General features: G+C 44.6%; 1 protein-coding gene, 1 long non-coding RNA gene and 1 pseudogene across 3 annotated transcripts in view, besides 1 other annotated feature; 2 read left to right on the top strand and 1 right to left on the bottom strand.

Moving 5' to 3' along the window:
- Window positions 1–14,654, top strand: part of LOC102724701 (uncharacterized) — a 441,766-nt gene that overhangs the window by 155,830 nt on the left and 271,282 nt on the right. The window lies entirely within an intron of this gene.
- Window positions 1–14,654, bottom strand: part of LOC102724652 (crystallin alpha A2) — a 65,287-nt gene that overhangs the window by 49,588 nt on the left and 1,045 nt on the right. The window contains exon 2 of the mRNA NM_001314050.5: window positions 13,708–13,882. The gene's annotated coding sequence lies outside the window, so the exon portion shown is untranslated. The remainder of the gene's footprint in view (window positions 1–13,707; window positions 13,883–14,654) is intronic.
- Window positions 1–14,654: part of a sequence alteration artifact (region identified as an assembly artifact by the Genome Reference Consortium. This region falsely duplicates sequence located at GRCh38 chr21:43035651-43187643) that runs on past both edges of the window.
- LOC124904988 (39S ribosomal protein L51, mitochondrial-like) lies at window positions 7,513–8,099 on the top strand (annotated as a pseudogene).

Raw genomic sequence — 14,654 nt, 5'->3', positions numbered from 1 at the left:
CCACTTGAGGAGGCAGTCTGTCCGTTCTCAGATCTCAAACTCCGTGCTGGGAGAACCACTGCTCTCTCCCATTCTGGCTAAATGAATGACTTATTTTACACAGACCTGTGATCCTATTTTGATATCAAATGTTTTCTTTTTTCCTTTTTTTTTTTTTTTAGATGGAATCTCGCTCTGTCACCCAGTCTGGAGTGTAGTGGTGTGATCTCAGCTCACTACAACCTCCGCCTCCTGGATTCAAATGATTCTCCTACCTCAGCCACCCAACTAGCTGGGATTACAGGTGTGCACCATCACACCTGGGTAATTTTTGTATTTTTAGTAGAGATAGGGTTTTGCCACGTTGGTCAGGCTGGTCTTGAACTCATGACCTCAGGTGATCCACCCACCTCGGCCTCCCAAAGTGCTGTGATTATAGGCGTGAGCCACTGTGTCTGGCCATATTTTGATATCAAATGTTTTAAACCTTTGATATTTGACATACTTCCCAAAATCAATTTTTTTTTTGTTTTTTGAGATAGGGTCTCACTCTTTTACTCAGGCTGGAGTGGCACAGTCATGGCTCACTGTAACCTCTCCCTCCTGGGCTCAAGCAGTACTCCCACCTCAGCCTCTAGAGCAGCTGAGACTACAGATGCACGCCACCACACTCAGCTTAATTTTTAAATTCTTTTTTTAGAGATGAGGCTTGATCATATTGTCCAGGCTGATCTTGAACTCCTGGGCTCAAGCGATCTGCCTTCCTTGGCTTCCCAATGTGCTGGGATTACCAGTGTGAGCCACTGTACCCAGCCAAAAATCAAATTTCAAATTCTAAAATTAAGTCTTTTTGACCTGAACTAATGTGGACATAACCTGGACATAACAAATAGAAACTCCTGGAAATCCAAATAGTAGGCTTACTCGGTATGTTAGAATCATACAGGAAGCATTGTCAAATAAACAATAGCGTTTAACTTTCTTTGAGTTATATGTGTATCACACAAGTATAAATGTGTGATTAATATTTGTTCCAAAATCATATGAGATTTCTAAAATTTTGATATGTCCTGGTATATGTTATCAGTCATAATTATGATTATGATGTTACATTGTTAGATGCCACAGAAATAACCAATTTTCCTTGTCACAGGCATCTTTAACTATGGCTACTATAAGTCTTTTGTCATCCGTAGACAATTACTGTTTTACTTTGATTCTTTTCGAAAAGTGGTTTACGGCCTGGCATGGTGGCTCACACCTGTAATCCCAGCACTTTGGGAGGTCGAGGCTGGTAGATCACCTGAGGTCAGGAGTTTGAGGCCAGCCTGGCCAACGTGGTGAAACCCCGTCTCTACTAAAAATACAAAAATTAGCCGGATGTGGTGGTGGGCACCTGTAGTCCCAGCTGAATGCTACCAGAGGTACAAGGAGGAGCTGGTACCATTCCTTCTGAAACTATTCCAATCAACAGAAAAAGAGGGAGTCCTCCCTAACTCATTTTATGAGGCCAGCATCATCCTGATACCAAAGGCTGGCAGAGACACAACAAAAAAAGAGAATTTTAGACTAATATCCCTGATGAACACTGATGCAAAAATCCTCAGTAAAATACTGCCAAACCGAATCCAGCAGCACATCAAAAAGCTTATCCACCATGATTAAGTGGGCTTCATCCCTGGGATGCAAGGCTGGTTCAATATACGCAAATCAATAAACATATAATGTTTATTGATTTAACATTATATATTAAATCAGCATATAAACAGAACTAAAGACGAAAACCACATGATTATCTCAATAGATGCAGAAAAGGCCTTGACAAAATTCAACAGCCCTTCATGCTAAAAACTCTCAATAAATTAGGTATTGATGGGACATATCTCAAAATAATAAGAGCTATTTATGACAAACCCACAGCCAATACCATACTGAATGGGCAAAAACTGGAAGCATTCCCTTTGAAAACCGGCACAAGACAGGGATGCCCTCTCTCACCACTCCTATTCAATGTAGTGTTGGAAGTTCTGGCCAAGGCAATTAGGCAGGAGAAGGAAATAAAGGGTATTCAATTAGGAAAAGAGGAAGTCAAATTGTCCCTGTTTGCAGATGGCATGATTGTATATTTAGAAAACCCCATTGTCTCAGCCCAAAATCTCCTTAAGCTGATAAGCAACTTCAGCAAAGTCTCAGGATACAAAATCAATGTGCAAAAATCACAAGCATTCTTGTACACCAATAACAGACAGAGAGCCAAATCATGAGTGAACTCCCATTCACAATTGCTTCAAAGAGAATAAAATACCTAGGAATCCAACTTACAAGAGATGTGAAGGACCTCTTCAAGGAGAACTACAAACCACTGCTCAAAGAAATAAAAGAGGACACAAACAAATGGAAGAACATTCCATGCTCATGCATAGGAAGAATCAATATCGTGAAAATGGCCATACTGCCCAAGGTAATTTATAGATTCAATGCCATCCCCATCAAGCTACCAATGACTTTCTTCACAGAATTGGAAAAAACTACTTTAAAGTTTATATGGAACCAAAAAAGAACCCACATTGCCAAGACAATCCTAAGCCAAAAGAACAAAGCTGGAGGCATCACACTACCTGACTTCAAACTATACTACAAGGCTACAGTAACCAAAACAGCATGGTACTGGTACCAAAACAGAGATATAGACAAATGGAATAGAACAGAGCCCTCAGAAACAATACCACACATCTACAACCATCTGATCTTTGACAAACCTGACAAAAACAAGAAATGGGGAAAGGATTCCCTATTTAATAAATGGTGCTGGGAAAACTGGCTAGCCATATGTAGAAAGCTGAAACTGGATCCCTTCCTTACACCTTATACAAAAATTAATTCGAGATGGATTAAAGACTTAAATGTTAGACCTAAAACCATAAAAACCCTAGAAGAAAACCTAGGCAATACCATTCAGGACATAGGCATGGGCAAGGACTTCATGTCTAAAACACCAAAAGCAATGGCAACAAAAGCCAAAATTGACAAATGGGATCTAATTAAACTAAAGAGCTTCTGCACAGCAAAAGAGACTACCATCAGAGTGAACAGGCAACCTACAGAATGGGAGAAAATTTTTGCAATCTACTCATCTGACAAAGGGCTAATATCCAGAATCTACAAAGAACTCAAACAAACTTACAAGAAAAAAACAAACAACCCCATCAAAAAGTGGGCAAAGGATATGAACAGACACTTCTCAAAAGAAGACATTTATGCAGCCAACAGACACATGAAAAAATGCTTATCATCACTGGCCATCAGAGAAATGCAAATCAAAACCATAATGAGATACCATCTCACACCAGTTAGAATGGCGATCATTAAAAAGTCAGGAAACAACAGGTGCTGGAGAGGATGTGGAGAAATAGGAACACTTTTACACTGTTGGTGGAACTGTAAACTAGTTCAACCATTGTAGAAGTCAGTGTGGTGATTCCTCAAGGATCTAGAACTAGAAATACCATTTGACCCAGCCATCTCATTACTGGGTATATACCCAAAGGATTATAAATCAGGCTGCTATAAAGACACATGCACACGCATGTTTATTGCGGCACTATTCACAATAGCAAAGACTTGTGTCTAAATGTCAATCAATGATAGACTGGATTAAGAAAATGTGGCACATATATACCATGGAATACTATGCAGCCATAAAAAAGGATGAGTTCATGTCCTTTGTAGGGACATGGATGAAGCTGGAAACCATCATTCTCAGCAAACTATCGCAAGGACAAAAAACCAAACACCGCATGTTCTCACTCATAGGGGGGAATTGAACAATGAGAACACTTGGACACAGGAAGGGGAACATCACACACCGGGGCCTGTTGTGGGGTGAGGGGAGTGGGGAGGGATAGCATTAGGAGATATACCTAATGTAAATGACGAGTTAATGGGTGCAGCACACCAACATGGCACATGTATACATATGTAACAAATCTGCACATTGTGCACATGTACCCTAGAACTTAAAGTATAATAAAAAAAATAAATAAAGATTTCAAAGAGCAACTCTTTTACTCTAAAATAGAGCAGAGACTCAGTTCCCAATCAAGAGACATAATAAAGATAGCATGAGGCAAATTCTCCCAGCCCCCTTTTTTTGCAGTTTATTCAAAAGGTAAACAAATCTTTTACTTTTTTTTTTTTAGATAGAGTCTCGCTCTGTTGCCCAGATTGGAGTGCAGTGGCACAATTTCAGCTCACTGCAACCTCCACCTCCCGAGTTCAAGCGATTTTCCTGCCTCAGCCTCCCAAGTAGCTGAGATTACAGGCATATACCACCACACCTGGCTAATTTTTGTATTTTTAGTAGAGACAGGGTTTCACCATGTTGGTCATGCTGGTCTTGAACTGCTGACCTCAAGTGATCCACCCACCTTGGCCTCCCAGTGTGCTGGGATTACAGGCATAAGCCACCACACCCAGCTTACTATCTCTTCTTAACACAACATGAAATTCTTATTCAACAGAGAAAACAAGATTTAACTTTTATATTAGTGTATTATCAATCGTCCATTCTCAGGCAGCTTTGACCATACAAAGTAAGATTCCCAAAAACCTTTTATAAACTCTTACAATTTTCTTTTTCCTAATTTTTAAAATAACAGTGATAGGGTCTCACTATCCTACCCAGGCTGGTCTCAATCTCATGGCCTCAAAGTGCTAGAATTACAAGGATGAACAACCATGCCCGGCCCAACTCTTACAATTTTCTATTAAAGAGCACACCAATACTCCAAGAAAACCTACTGTTCAGACACAGGGGCCCAGACTCTGGCCTAGCATCACTGTGCTTTTTTTTTTAGACTCAGTCTCCCTCTGTCACCCAGGCTGGAGTGCAGTAGCGCGATCTTGGCTCACTGCAAGCTCCGCCTCCCAGGTTCATGCCATTCTCCTGCCTCAGTCTCCTGAGTAGCTGGGACTACAGGCGCCTGCCACCACGCCTGGCTAATTTTTCTTTGTATTTTTAGTAGAGATGGGGTTTCGCCATGTTAGCCAGGATGATCTCGATCTCCTGACCTCATGATCCACCCACCTTCGCCTCCCAAAGTGCTGGGATTACAGGTGTGAGCCACTGCACCCAGCCAAGCAGTCCCTTCTTTAAGCCAATTAATTATAGCTTTTTCATATATTTTGGTAGTGAAATATCACATACACATGACACATATAAACATATAGACATACAGACAGAAGCAGATCTTATAGTTTTTATAAAGAATCTTCTCTCCAATTCCCCATTTCTACCAAAGAGAAATCTTAGCAAGACCAACTAACTTGTAAAGTAAGTTTTAGCATTAATACTTAACCTGATTATGCTCTCAAATAGTTTTTATTTCCCCCTTTTACATGATCCCTAAGCAACTGTTAGCTAGGCAACACTAAATTGGCACTTCTAAAGGGATGACTGAGGTGAAACAAAGTAGAAAAAATTCACATCTCAAAAGCACAGAGCTGAATTCAAACCAAGGAAGAAGGGTGTAGGTAAAAGCCTAGTTGTGGGCGGCAAACCACCTACGTGCCGAGGCAAGAGACCGAGGGCACGAGCTTTTCCAGTATAATAAAATATATAAAACAACAAGAGTTATACTAGATCTAGATCATAGACATGATTATATATGAAAATCATTAATCATTAGTTTGTAGCAATTACTCTTTATTCCAATATTACAATAATCCTCGCTCTACAATCATAACCTAGGAAAAACCAGGCCATACAGACACAGGAGCTGAGGGGACATAGTGAGAAGTGACCAGAAGACAAGCATGCGAGCCTTCTGTTATGCCCGGACAGGGCCACCAGAGGGCTCCTTGGTCTAGCGGTAACGCCAGCGTCTGGGAAGACGCCTGTTGTCAAGCGGACCATGGTCTAGCAGTAGCGTCAGTGTCAAGGAAAAACACCGGCTACTTAGCAGACCGGGAAAGGGAGTCTCCCTTTCCCCACGGGAGTTCAGAGAAGACTCTACTCCTCCATCTCTTGTGGAGGGCCTCAGGCCCACCTTCAGTTATCCGAAGGCATACCATCTCCCTGTGACGCTGTGCTTCAGTGGTCACACTCCTAGTCCGCCTTCGTGTTCCATCCTGTACACCTGGCTCTGCCTTCTAGATAGCAGTAGCAAATTAGTGAAAGTACTAAAAGTCTCTGATATGCAGAAATAATGGCGCAAGCTGTCTCTCTCTCTCCCCCTCTCTGCCTTGGCTGCCAGGCAGGGAAGGGCCCCCTGTCCAGTGGACACGTGACCCACGTGACCCTACCTATCATTGGAGATGACTCACACTCTTTACCCTGCCCCTTTTGCTTTGTATCCAATAAATAACAACGCAGCCAGACATTCGGGGCCATTACCGGTCTCCGCATCTTGGTGTTAGTGGTCCCCCAGGCCCACCTGTCTTTCCTTTTATCTCTTTGTCTTGTGTCTTTATTTCTACAATCTCTCGTCTCTGCACATGGGGAGAAAAACCCACCGATCCTGTGGGGCTGGTCCCTACACCTAGTGAAGACGAGGTTGCCAGGAAAAGTATTTCCACCGAAGGCAAGGTCTGTGATGTAAACTGTAAGACAGTGTCTTCAGCCAATGTCTTCCCCATCTTCAGTTTCTAGCAGTTTGGGTGCAGGGAGGGAGACACCCTTACAAATGGAGATTTCCTTCATATATATAAATTTTTTTTACAAAGAGTTTCAAAATAGCCAGCTAAATGCTAGAAAGCCATATTTTGGATATCAAAGTTACACAAGGGTCTGCATTAGTTAGGGTTCTCCAGAGGGGCAGAACTAACAGAATAGACATATATATGAAAGGGAGTATATTAGGGAGAACTAGTTCACACCATCACAGGGTGAAGTCCCATGATACACCGTCTGCAAGCTGCAGAAGAAGGAAGCCAGGAGTGGCTCAGTCGGAGTCCAAAAGCCTCAAAAGTAGGGAAGCCAACAGTGCAGGCTTCAATCTGTGGCTGAAGGCCCGAGAGTCCCAAGCAAACCACTGGCTTAAGTCCAAGAGTCCAAAGGCCAAAGAACCTGGAGTCTGATGTCCAAGGGCAGGGGGAACGGAGGAGGCATCCAGCACAGGAGAAAGATGAAAGTGAAACTGCCTCTGCAAAAATTACAACTGAGGAAATGATGACAGTGAAAGAGATCAGACCTACCTGACTCCATCTTGCTTCTAACCTTTAGGCTGTCTTTGTTCATGCCTGGGCACAGGCCAACTAACCTTGGGAAGGAATTTAGCTTATAGTTTGACTCTGAAACAAAATTGATAATAGCCATTTCCCAGAAAGATCCCCTTCTTGCCTAGGAACCAGTCTGCCTTTGTAGGAGTAACAAATTAGCTACAAGATTAGAAATTTTAAGGCCCAAGGTGGCTGCCTTCACGTTAGTACCCGTGTGAAGTCGACAGGGACGGTTCCTGTTGTCTTCTTGAAGGCCACATCTGGTCCTCATTCTTGGGCTTATTTGGTGTGCTGTTGAAGGGGCAGACTAGAGAAATGGCAGGGAGCCTCTTATGTAGGGCAGGTAGGCGCCTGTGGGACTAGGTGTGGCATGCAGAAGCTTCTTTCTTGGTATTCCTAGATTGATTGGTATAAGGCTCCTACCCCCCAAAGTAGTTGATCCTTGGAACGAAAGGATGGCCATGTTCAGAGTGTATGACAACATCAGGATCCTGGGAAACTTTGAAAAGCACCCCAAAAGCTGATCAGGGACCCCATATGGCTTCGAGATTGGAAGGGGAATGAATTGCAACGCTGTATGCTAAAGAAGAAAATGGTTGGAAACAGAATGTTTGCTGATGAGCTGCACAACCTCAATAAACGCATCAGCTGTCTCTACAAACACTTTAACTGACATGGGAAATATCGATAGAAGAGAAAGCTGAGAACTTCAGAAAAGGCTCATCTGTCACCCTGGAGAAGGGAAGCTGTACTTTTCCTTATGAGGAAACGGCTTTGTATGCTCTCTGTAATAAAATGGGGCTTCTTTGAAAAAAAAAAAAAGAAATTTTGATTTAAAGGTCATCCAGCCTCTGGCTGTCCAAACCTCCCGAAATTGCTCCTGGGGATAACATCACCATTGTAATCCGAAGATCAGTGCTTGAGGTATTTATTCTGCAAGACCCTGTACTCTATGGATCAGCTGATACCACACAGACCGGCTATCTGGCTCAGCCAGTTCTGCCATTGTACCCAGGAACAGAAGACAGCAAGGAAACCTCACTTTGACCTCCCTGTGATTCCATCTCCAGCCAGATCAATCAGCACTCCTACTTCCTGAGCCGCCAAATTATCTTTAAAAACTCTGATCTGCAAATTCTTGGGATGTCTAATTTGAGTAATAATAAAACTCCAGTCGCCCGCACAGCTAGCTCTGTGTAAATTACTCGTTCTGCATTGCAATTCCCCTGTCCTGATAAATCCGCTCCATCTAGGCAGCCGGCTAGGTGAACTCACTGGGTGGCTACAAAAGCCAGAAGACTCAGCAAGCCAGCTTCTCCCACCCTCCTCCACCTGCTTTGTTCCAGCCACACTGTCAGCCAATCGGATGGTGCCCACCCACACTGAGGGTGGGTCTTCCTCTCTCAGTCCACTGACTCCAATGTCAATTTCCTCTGGCAACACCCTCACAACACACCCAAGAACAATACTTTACCATCCTTCAATCCAATCAGGTTGACAGCTAATATTAACCATCACAGGGTCTTTTCAACTTAGCTTGTTTCTCTATTAGATTACTGACTTCAGGGTGAAGCCCTTTAATGAATAGGGCAAAGGAGGCATTCTCTATGCCTGGAATCAGCATGGATAGCTCTGAAAAGAAGCAAGCCTACTTTACCTGCTTGAGGGCCTACTTTTAACTTTTTATAAACACTTTATCCAACTTATTACATATAAAAAAAGAAAAAACTTGGCCGGGTGCGGTGGCTCATGTCTGTAATCCCAGCACTTTGGGAGGCCAAGGTGGGTGGATCACCTGAGATCAGGAGTTCAAGACCAGCCTGGCCAACATGGTGAAACTTTGTCTCTACTAAAAATACAAAATTAGCCAGGTGTGGTGGTGCATGCATGTAATCCCAGCTACTTGGGAGGCTGAGGCAGGAGGACCGCTTGAACCTGGCAGGCCGAAGTTGCAGTGAGCCGAGATCAGGCCATCCCTTACACTCCAGCCTGGGCAATGAGAGCGAAACTCCATCTCAAAAAAAAAAACGAAATGGACATTTTCAAGTTACTCACAAAACCAGTGAGACTTAACCAAGGTAAATTAGCCAGGTGTGGTGGCATGCACCTGTCATCCCAGCTACTCGGGAGGCTAAGGCAGGAGAATTGCTTCAACCCAGGAGACAGAGGTTGCAGTGAGCCAAGATCGCACCACTGCACTCCAGCTTGGGTGACACAGCGAGACTCCATCTCAAAAACAAAGATTTAACCAAGGTAATGGCATAACGAAGGTCATGACTTAACCAAGGCTGAACCAAGCATCTCCAAAGAAATGCAAAGCAGTCTTCCTAAGCGTCAGAACCACTCTAAAGACAGCTCAGAAAAAGAAATCTTGCTGCTCACACCTGTAATCCCAGCACTTTGGGAAGCTGAGGTGGGTGGATCACTTGACGTCAGGAGTTCGAGACCAGCCTGGCCAACATGGTGAAACCCCATCTCTACTAAAAACACAAAAATTAGCCAGGCGTGGTGGTGAGCACCTGTAATCCCACCTACTTGGGAGGCTGAGGCAGAAGAATTGACTGAACCTGAGAGGTGGAGGTTGCAGTGAGCTTAGACCATGCCATTGCACTCCAGCCTGGGTGACGAGAGCGAAACTCCATCTCAAAAAAAAAAAAAAAAAAAAAAGAAGGCCAGGCGCGGTGGCTCACACCTGTAATCCCAGCACTTTGGGAGGCCGAGGCAGGCAGATCACCTGAGGTCAGGAGTTCAAGACCAGCCTGGCCAACATGGTGAAACCCTGTCTGTACTAAAAATACAAAAAATTAGCTGGGCGTGGTGGTGGGCACCTATAATCCCAGCTACTCGGGAGGCTGAGGCAGGAGAACTGCTGGAACCTGGAAGGCGGAGGCTGCACTGAGCCGAGATCATGCCACTGCACTCCAGCATGGGCAACACAGCAAGACTCCGTCTCAAAAAAAAAAAAAAAAAACAGGACTGGAAATTGAACCCAGGCTGCAAACATAGCCTCATGTTTGTAGAGACTCATAGCCTCTGGCCCACAGGCTGGAGCACTGACAAACCCTGCAGGGGCTCCAGAGCAGGCAGTTTGAGCATTTAAAGGGTTTTGACTTGTTTCAGATCTGATCTCAGCTGAACTAATTCCCTGGATGTTAGCATTTTATTTTTTTAATTTCCCTCCCTCCTTCCCTCCCTTCCTTTCTCTTTTTCTTTTTCTTTTTGGCAGCATCTCGCTCTGTCGCCCAGGCTGGAGTGCAGTGGCACCATCTCAGCTTACTGCAACCTCCACCTACTGGGTTCAAGCGATTCTCCTGCCTCAGCCTCCCGAGTAGCTGGGAATACAGGTACATGCCACCACATGTGTTTTTAGTAGAGATGGGGTTTCACCATGTTGGCCAGACTGGTCTTGAACTCCTGACCTCATGTGATCCACCAGCCTTGGCCTCCCAAAGTGTTGGGATTACAGGCTTGAGCTAACATTTCTTTTCTGGCCTATTTCTTTTATTTTTTATTTTTTATTTTTGTTGTTGTTGTTGTTTTGGGTTTTTTTGAGACGCAGTTTCCTTCTTGTCGCCCAGGCTGGAGTGCGATAGCGCCGTCTCGGCTCACTGCGACCTCTGCCTCCCGGATTCAAGTGATTCTCCTGCCTCAGTCTCCCAAGTAGCTGGGATTACAGGAGCCCGCAGCCACTCCCCGCTAATCTTTTTTTATTTTTAGTAGAGACGGGTTTTCACCCTGTTGGCCAGGCTGGTCTCGAACTCCTGACCTCAGGTGATCTGCCCAATTTGGCCTCCCAAAGTGCTGGGATTACAGGTGTGAGCCACCGCACCCAGTCTGTTCCAAATTTAAATATACTTTCCCCTTTTTGAGAGAAGGAAATGTGTGCATTGTGGAATTCCAAAAACACTGCTTAAGAGATGTATGGGAGCTGAGGGAACAGGCAGAAAGAGATGAGTTTAGATCATCCCAGAGGCAGAAGGAGAAGCAGCAGCTGGAAACAAACAGGAGAAAGCCTCCATGGTCTTTTTGTTTGTTTGTTTTTGTTTTTGTTTTGAGACAGAGTCTCACTCTGTCACCCAGGCTGGAGTACAGTGGCGCCATCTTGGCTCACTGCAACCTCCGCTTCCTGGGTTTCATGTGATTCTCTGCCTCAGCCTCCCAAGTAGCTGGGATTACAGGCGCCCGCCACCATGCCCGGCTAATTTTTGTATTTTTAATAGAGATGAGGTTTCACCATCTTGGCCAGGCTGGTCTTGAACTCCTGACCTCGTGATCCACCCACCTTGGCCTCCCAAAGTGCTGGGATTACAGGTGTGAGCCACCTCACCCAGCCTGAAACTACTTCTAAATTTTAAAAAGAACTGTGGATGGCTGGGCGTGGTGGCTCACACCTGTAATCCCAGCACTTTGGGAGGCCAAGGCTGGTGGATCACCTGAGATCAGAAGTTCGAGACCAGCCTGGCCTACATGGTGAAACCCTGTCTCTACTAAAAACACAAAACATTAGCCAGGCATGGTGGTGGGTGTCTGTAATCCCAGCTACTGGGAGGCTGAGGCAGAAGAATCGCTTGAACCCGGGAGGGGGAGGTTGCAACAAGCTGAGATCGTGCCACTGCACTCTAGCCTGGGCAACAAGAATGAAACTCTGTCTCAAAAAAAAAAAAAAAAAAATTGCGAGGCAAGGTGGGGGATGCCTGTAATCCCAGCTCAGAAGAATCGTTTGAACCTGGGAGGCAGAGGTTGCAGTGAGCCAAGATCACGCCAATGCACTCCAGCCTGGGTAACAGAGCAAGACTCTGTCTCAAAACAAACAAACAAAAGAAATAGTTTCAGATAATCTTCTGTTTTCTTCTTGCAAAGAAATGACTTCATCAGAACTTCTTTTAGAAGCTTCTAAGTATCATTGAAAAATAGCTCTCTCAGTTTTTAAATTTTAGATGCAGATTTTTCCTATTGAGTGCATAAACTAGTTACTTTAAAGGCGCCCCATTTTAGCTATTATAGTCTGGGGTCTTCACGGGTTAAGTGAGACCATGTTTCTAGATACTGACAGAAGGTGGCACCATAAGCATTGTCCACGAATCCAGCTGCCGTCTCTGCAGATGCATGTCTGCTCTAGAAGCACAAGTGTCCATAATTTAGATTTTCCTTCTGAATGACCAAAAATGCCTAAGGGGAGGAATTTTGGTCACTAAAGAAGAAAATGGCCAAGCGCGGTGACTCACGCCTGTAATCCCAGCACTTTGGAAGGCCGAGGCAGGGGGATCACGAGGTCAGGAGTTCAAGATCAGCTTGGCCAAGATGGTGAAACCCCAACTCTACTAAAAATACAAAAAATTAGCAGGGCATGGTGGCAGGCGCCTCTAATCCCAGCTACTTAGAAGGCTGAGGCAGAGAACTGCCTGAACTGAGGAGGCAGAGGTTGCAGTGAGCCGAGATCATGCCACTGCACTCCAGCCTGGGCGACAGAGCGAGACTCTGTCTCAAAAAAAAAAAAAAAAAAAAAAAAAGAAGAAGAAGAAGAATGTTTAGATTTGTCAGTTGAACCAAGTTTCAGAATATGGCCAGTTTTAAAGATGACACTTTCTCCTTGACCAAATTTCGAATGAGAGAAAAGGCTGCAAACTGTAAAAAGACAAGCAAAACCTCAGACAGAAGTGAAAATCACAAATCTGCAGTCAACAGAATCTCTAGAGAATAAAAATGGAAACTCCTACCTTTCAGTGGAGCTTCAGTTCTAACCCTATCAAATTATTAGTGTGTAAGTCTCAATCTTCAACTAAGCTGGGAGGATTCAGATCCCAAGACTGGCCTTACCAGAGACCCCTGCCAGCCCCAGTGAGGTCGAGTAAACAACAGTCGTTTGTGCTGGTACCAAGGCTCCAACTATTGATGCCACTACTTAGTGGCAATCCCTGAAGGCCTGCTTCAGGTCCTATCTGGGTTGCCAAAATGTCAACCTCAAATAATGAAATTCAGGAAATATGATTAAGTATAGAGTTTATTTGAGCCCAAAGCTTGAGGATGGCTCCCTGGGCACATGCCCCTAGGTTGCCCTGAACATATGTTCCCATTAGCAGCAGTCACAGTGGGGTTTTAAGGAAAAGGAAGAGGCAGTCCCTAAGTTGTTAGCAAGAATTTGCATTAAAATAACAGAAGGTGCTGATTGGCTATGCATCGTTCTTAGCATCACTAATTCCATGTGAACAAGAAGATAATGGGTGAGGCAGCCTGTCAGGAGCAAAAATTCCATCAAACAATTGCCCTGGACAGTTGCTTCTATGGTGGAAGAGGCGCTGAATGAAGTCCCACACTCCTGCCTCTCTGGGCCTGATCATTCTGCACACCTCACAGAGCTCAGACTACCCTATTTTTCTTTTCTCAGGAAAAATGGGTGGATGGTACTGGTGGCCCTGCCTGGTCTGATCATCTACCCTGGTTCTAGTAACCAGATTAATTCCTTGTAATAGAGCTGTGGATTTCAGTTCAGTTCCCACGCACAGACCTTACCTCTGCTTTCTCCGACCACTTCTCCCCCACCCCAGGTACTTCACAGCTGAGAGCCTCTTGCCAGCTTCCAACTCTCCAGCAGTCTTTGTTCCCAGACCGTGTCCTGAGGCTGCACTTTCTGGACATGCCCACCTGCTGGACTGGCATCTGTCTTGTCACTTCTCTGGCCTCACCTCTGCGAAAGGAACACAAAAGTCAGGACCCCAGTTCACTCTGTCAAAAGGAAAAGAATGAGCTGAAAGCTGAGTCATGTAAGCAGCTGCCTTTCCTTTCGTTCCTAAGCAGACGGCTACAGATAGAAGGTTCAACATCCGCTTCTCTTATGTAAAGTGCTGATTTGCTGAGGAGTGAGCTGTACACAGTCGACTGTTCCCAACCTGCTTCTTTTCTCTTGCAACGTGTGGATTACCACACTGTTCCGCTTTCCCCTCCAGCCCACTTTTCCCCTTTAAATACTGAAGCCCTCAAAGTCATCTTTGGAGAAAGGCACAGACCACAGACTGTTTCTGTGATACCGTGTTTTTTTTCCTCCCAGGCATTGTCCTTAACCTTGGCAAAATAAACTTCTAAATTGATTGAGCCCTGTCTCAAGATACTTTTTGGTTTAAACCTCTGAGGCCCTACTGTTTCTAATACAGGTTTCCAGTTTGCTCATCTTTCCCAGGTAGGAAGATGCTCTGTTGCCAAGAGAAATGCAATTCTAACACGCAAATCCGCCCAAACACTAGAGCTCAGCATTCAGCTCTAGCCGAGCTAAGAGGATCCCATGGTCCTGCCCCACAGTCTGGGGCTCATCTTGTGGAGGAGGTAAGTAAAATAGGCCCTGTCTCTCTGACTTCTACCTAATCAGAGTTGATAGTTGCGTTGGAAATTAGGTAAATCGCAGGTGAGTTGATGAATGTGGGAAACCAGATGAAAATGGCTGCTTGATGGGGTTAAAACGCAGG

The sequence above is a fragment of the Homo sapiens genome, chromosome 21 (assembly GCF_000001405.40).
Source record: "Homo sapiens chromosome 21, GRCh38.p14 Primary Assembly".
Taxonomy (NCBI): Eukaryota; Metazoa; Chordata; class Mammalia; order Primates; family Hominidae; genus Homo; species Homo sapiens.
The sequence above is the reverse complement of the archived record's forward strand: the minus strand, read 5'-3'. Positions and strand labels throughout refer to the sequence as shown.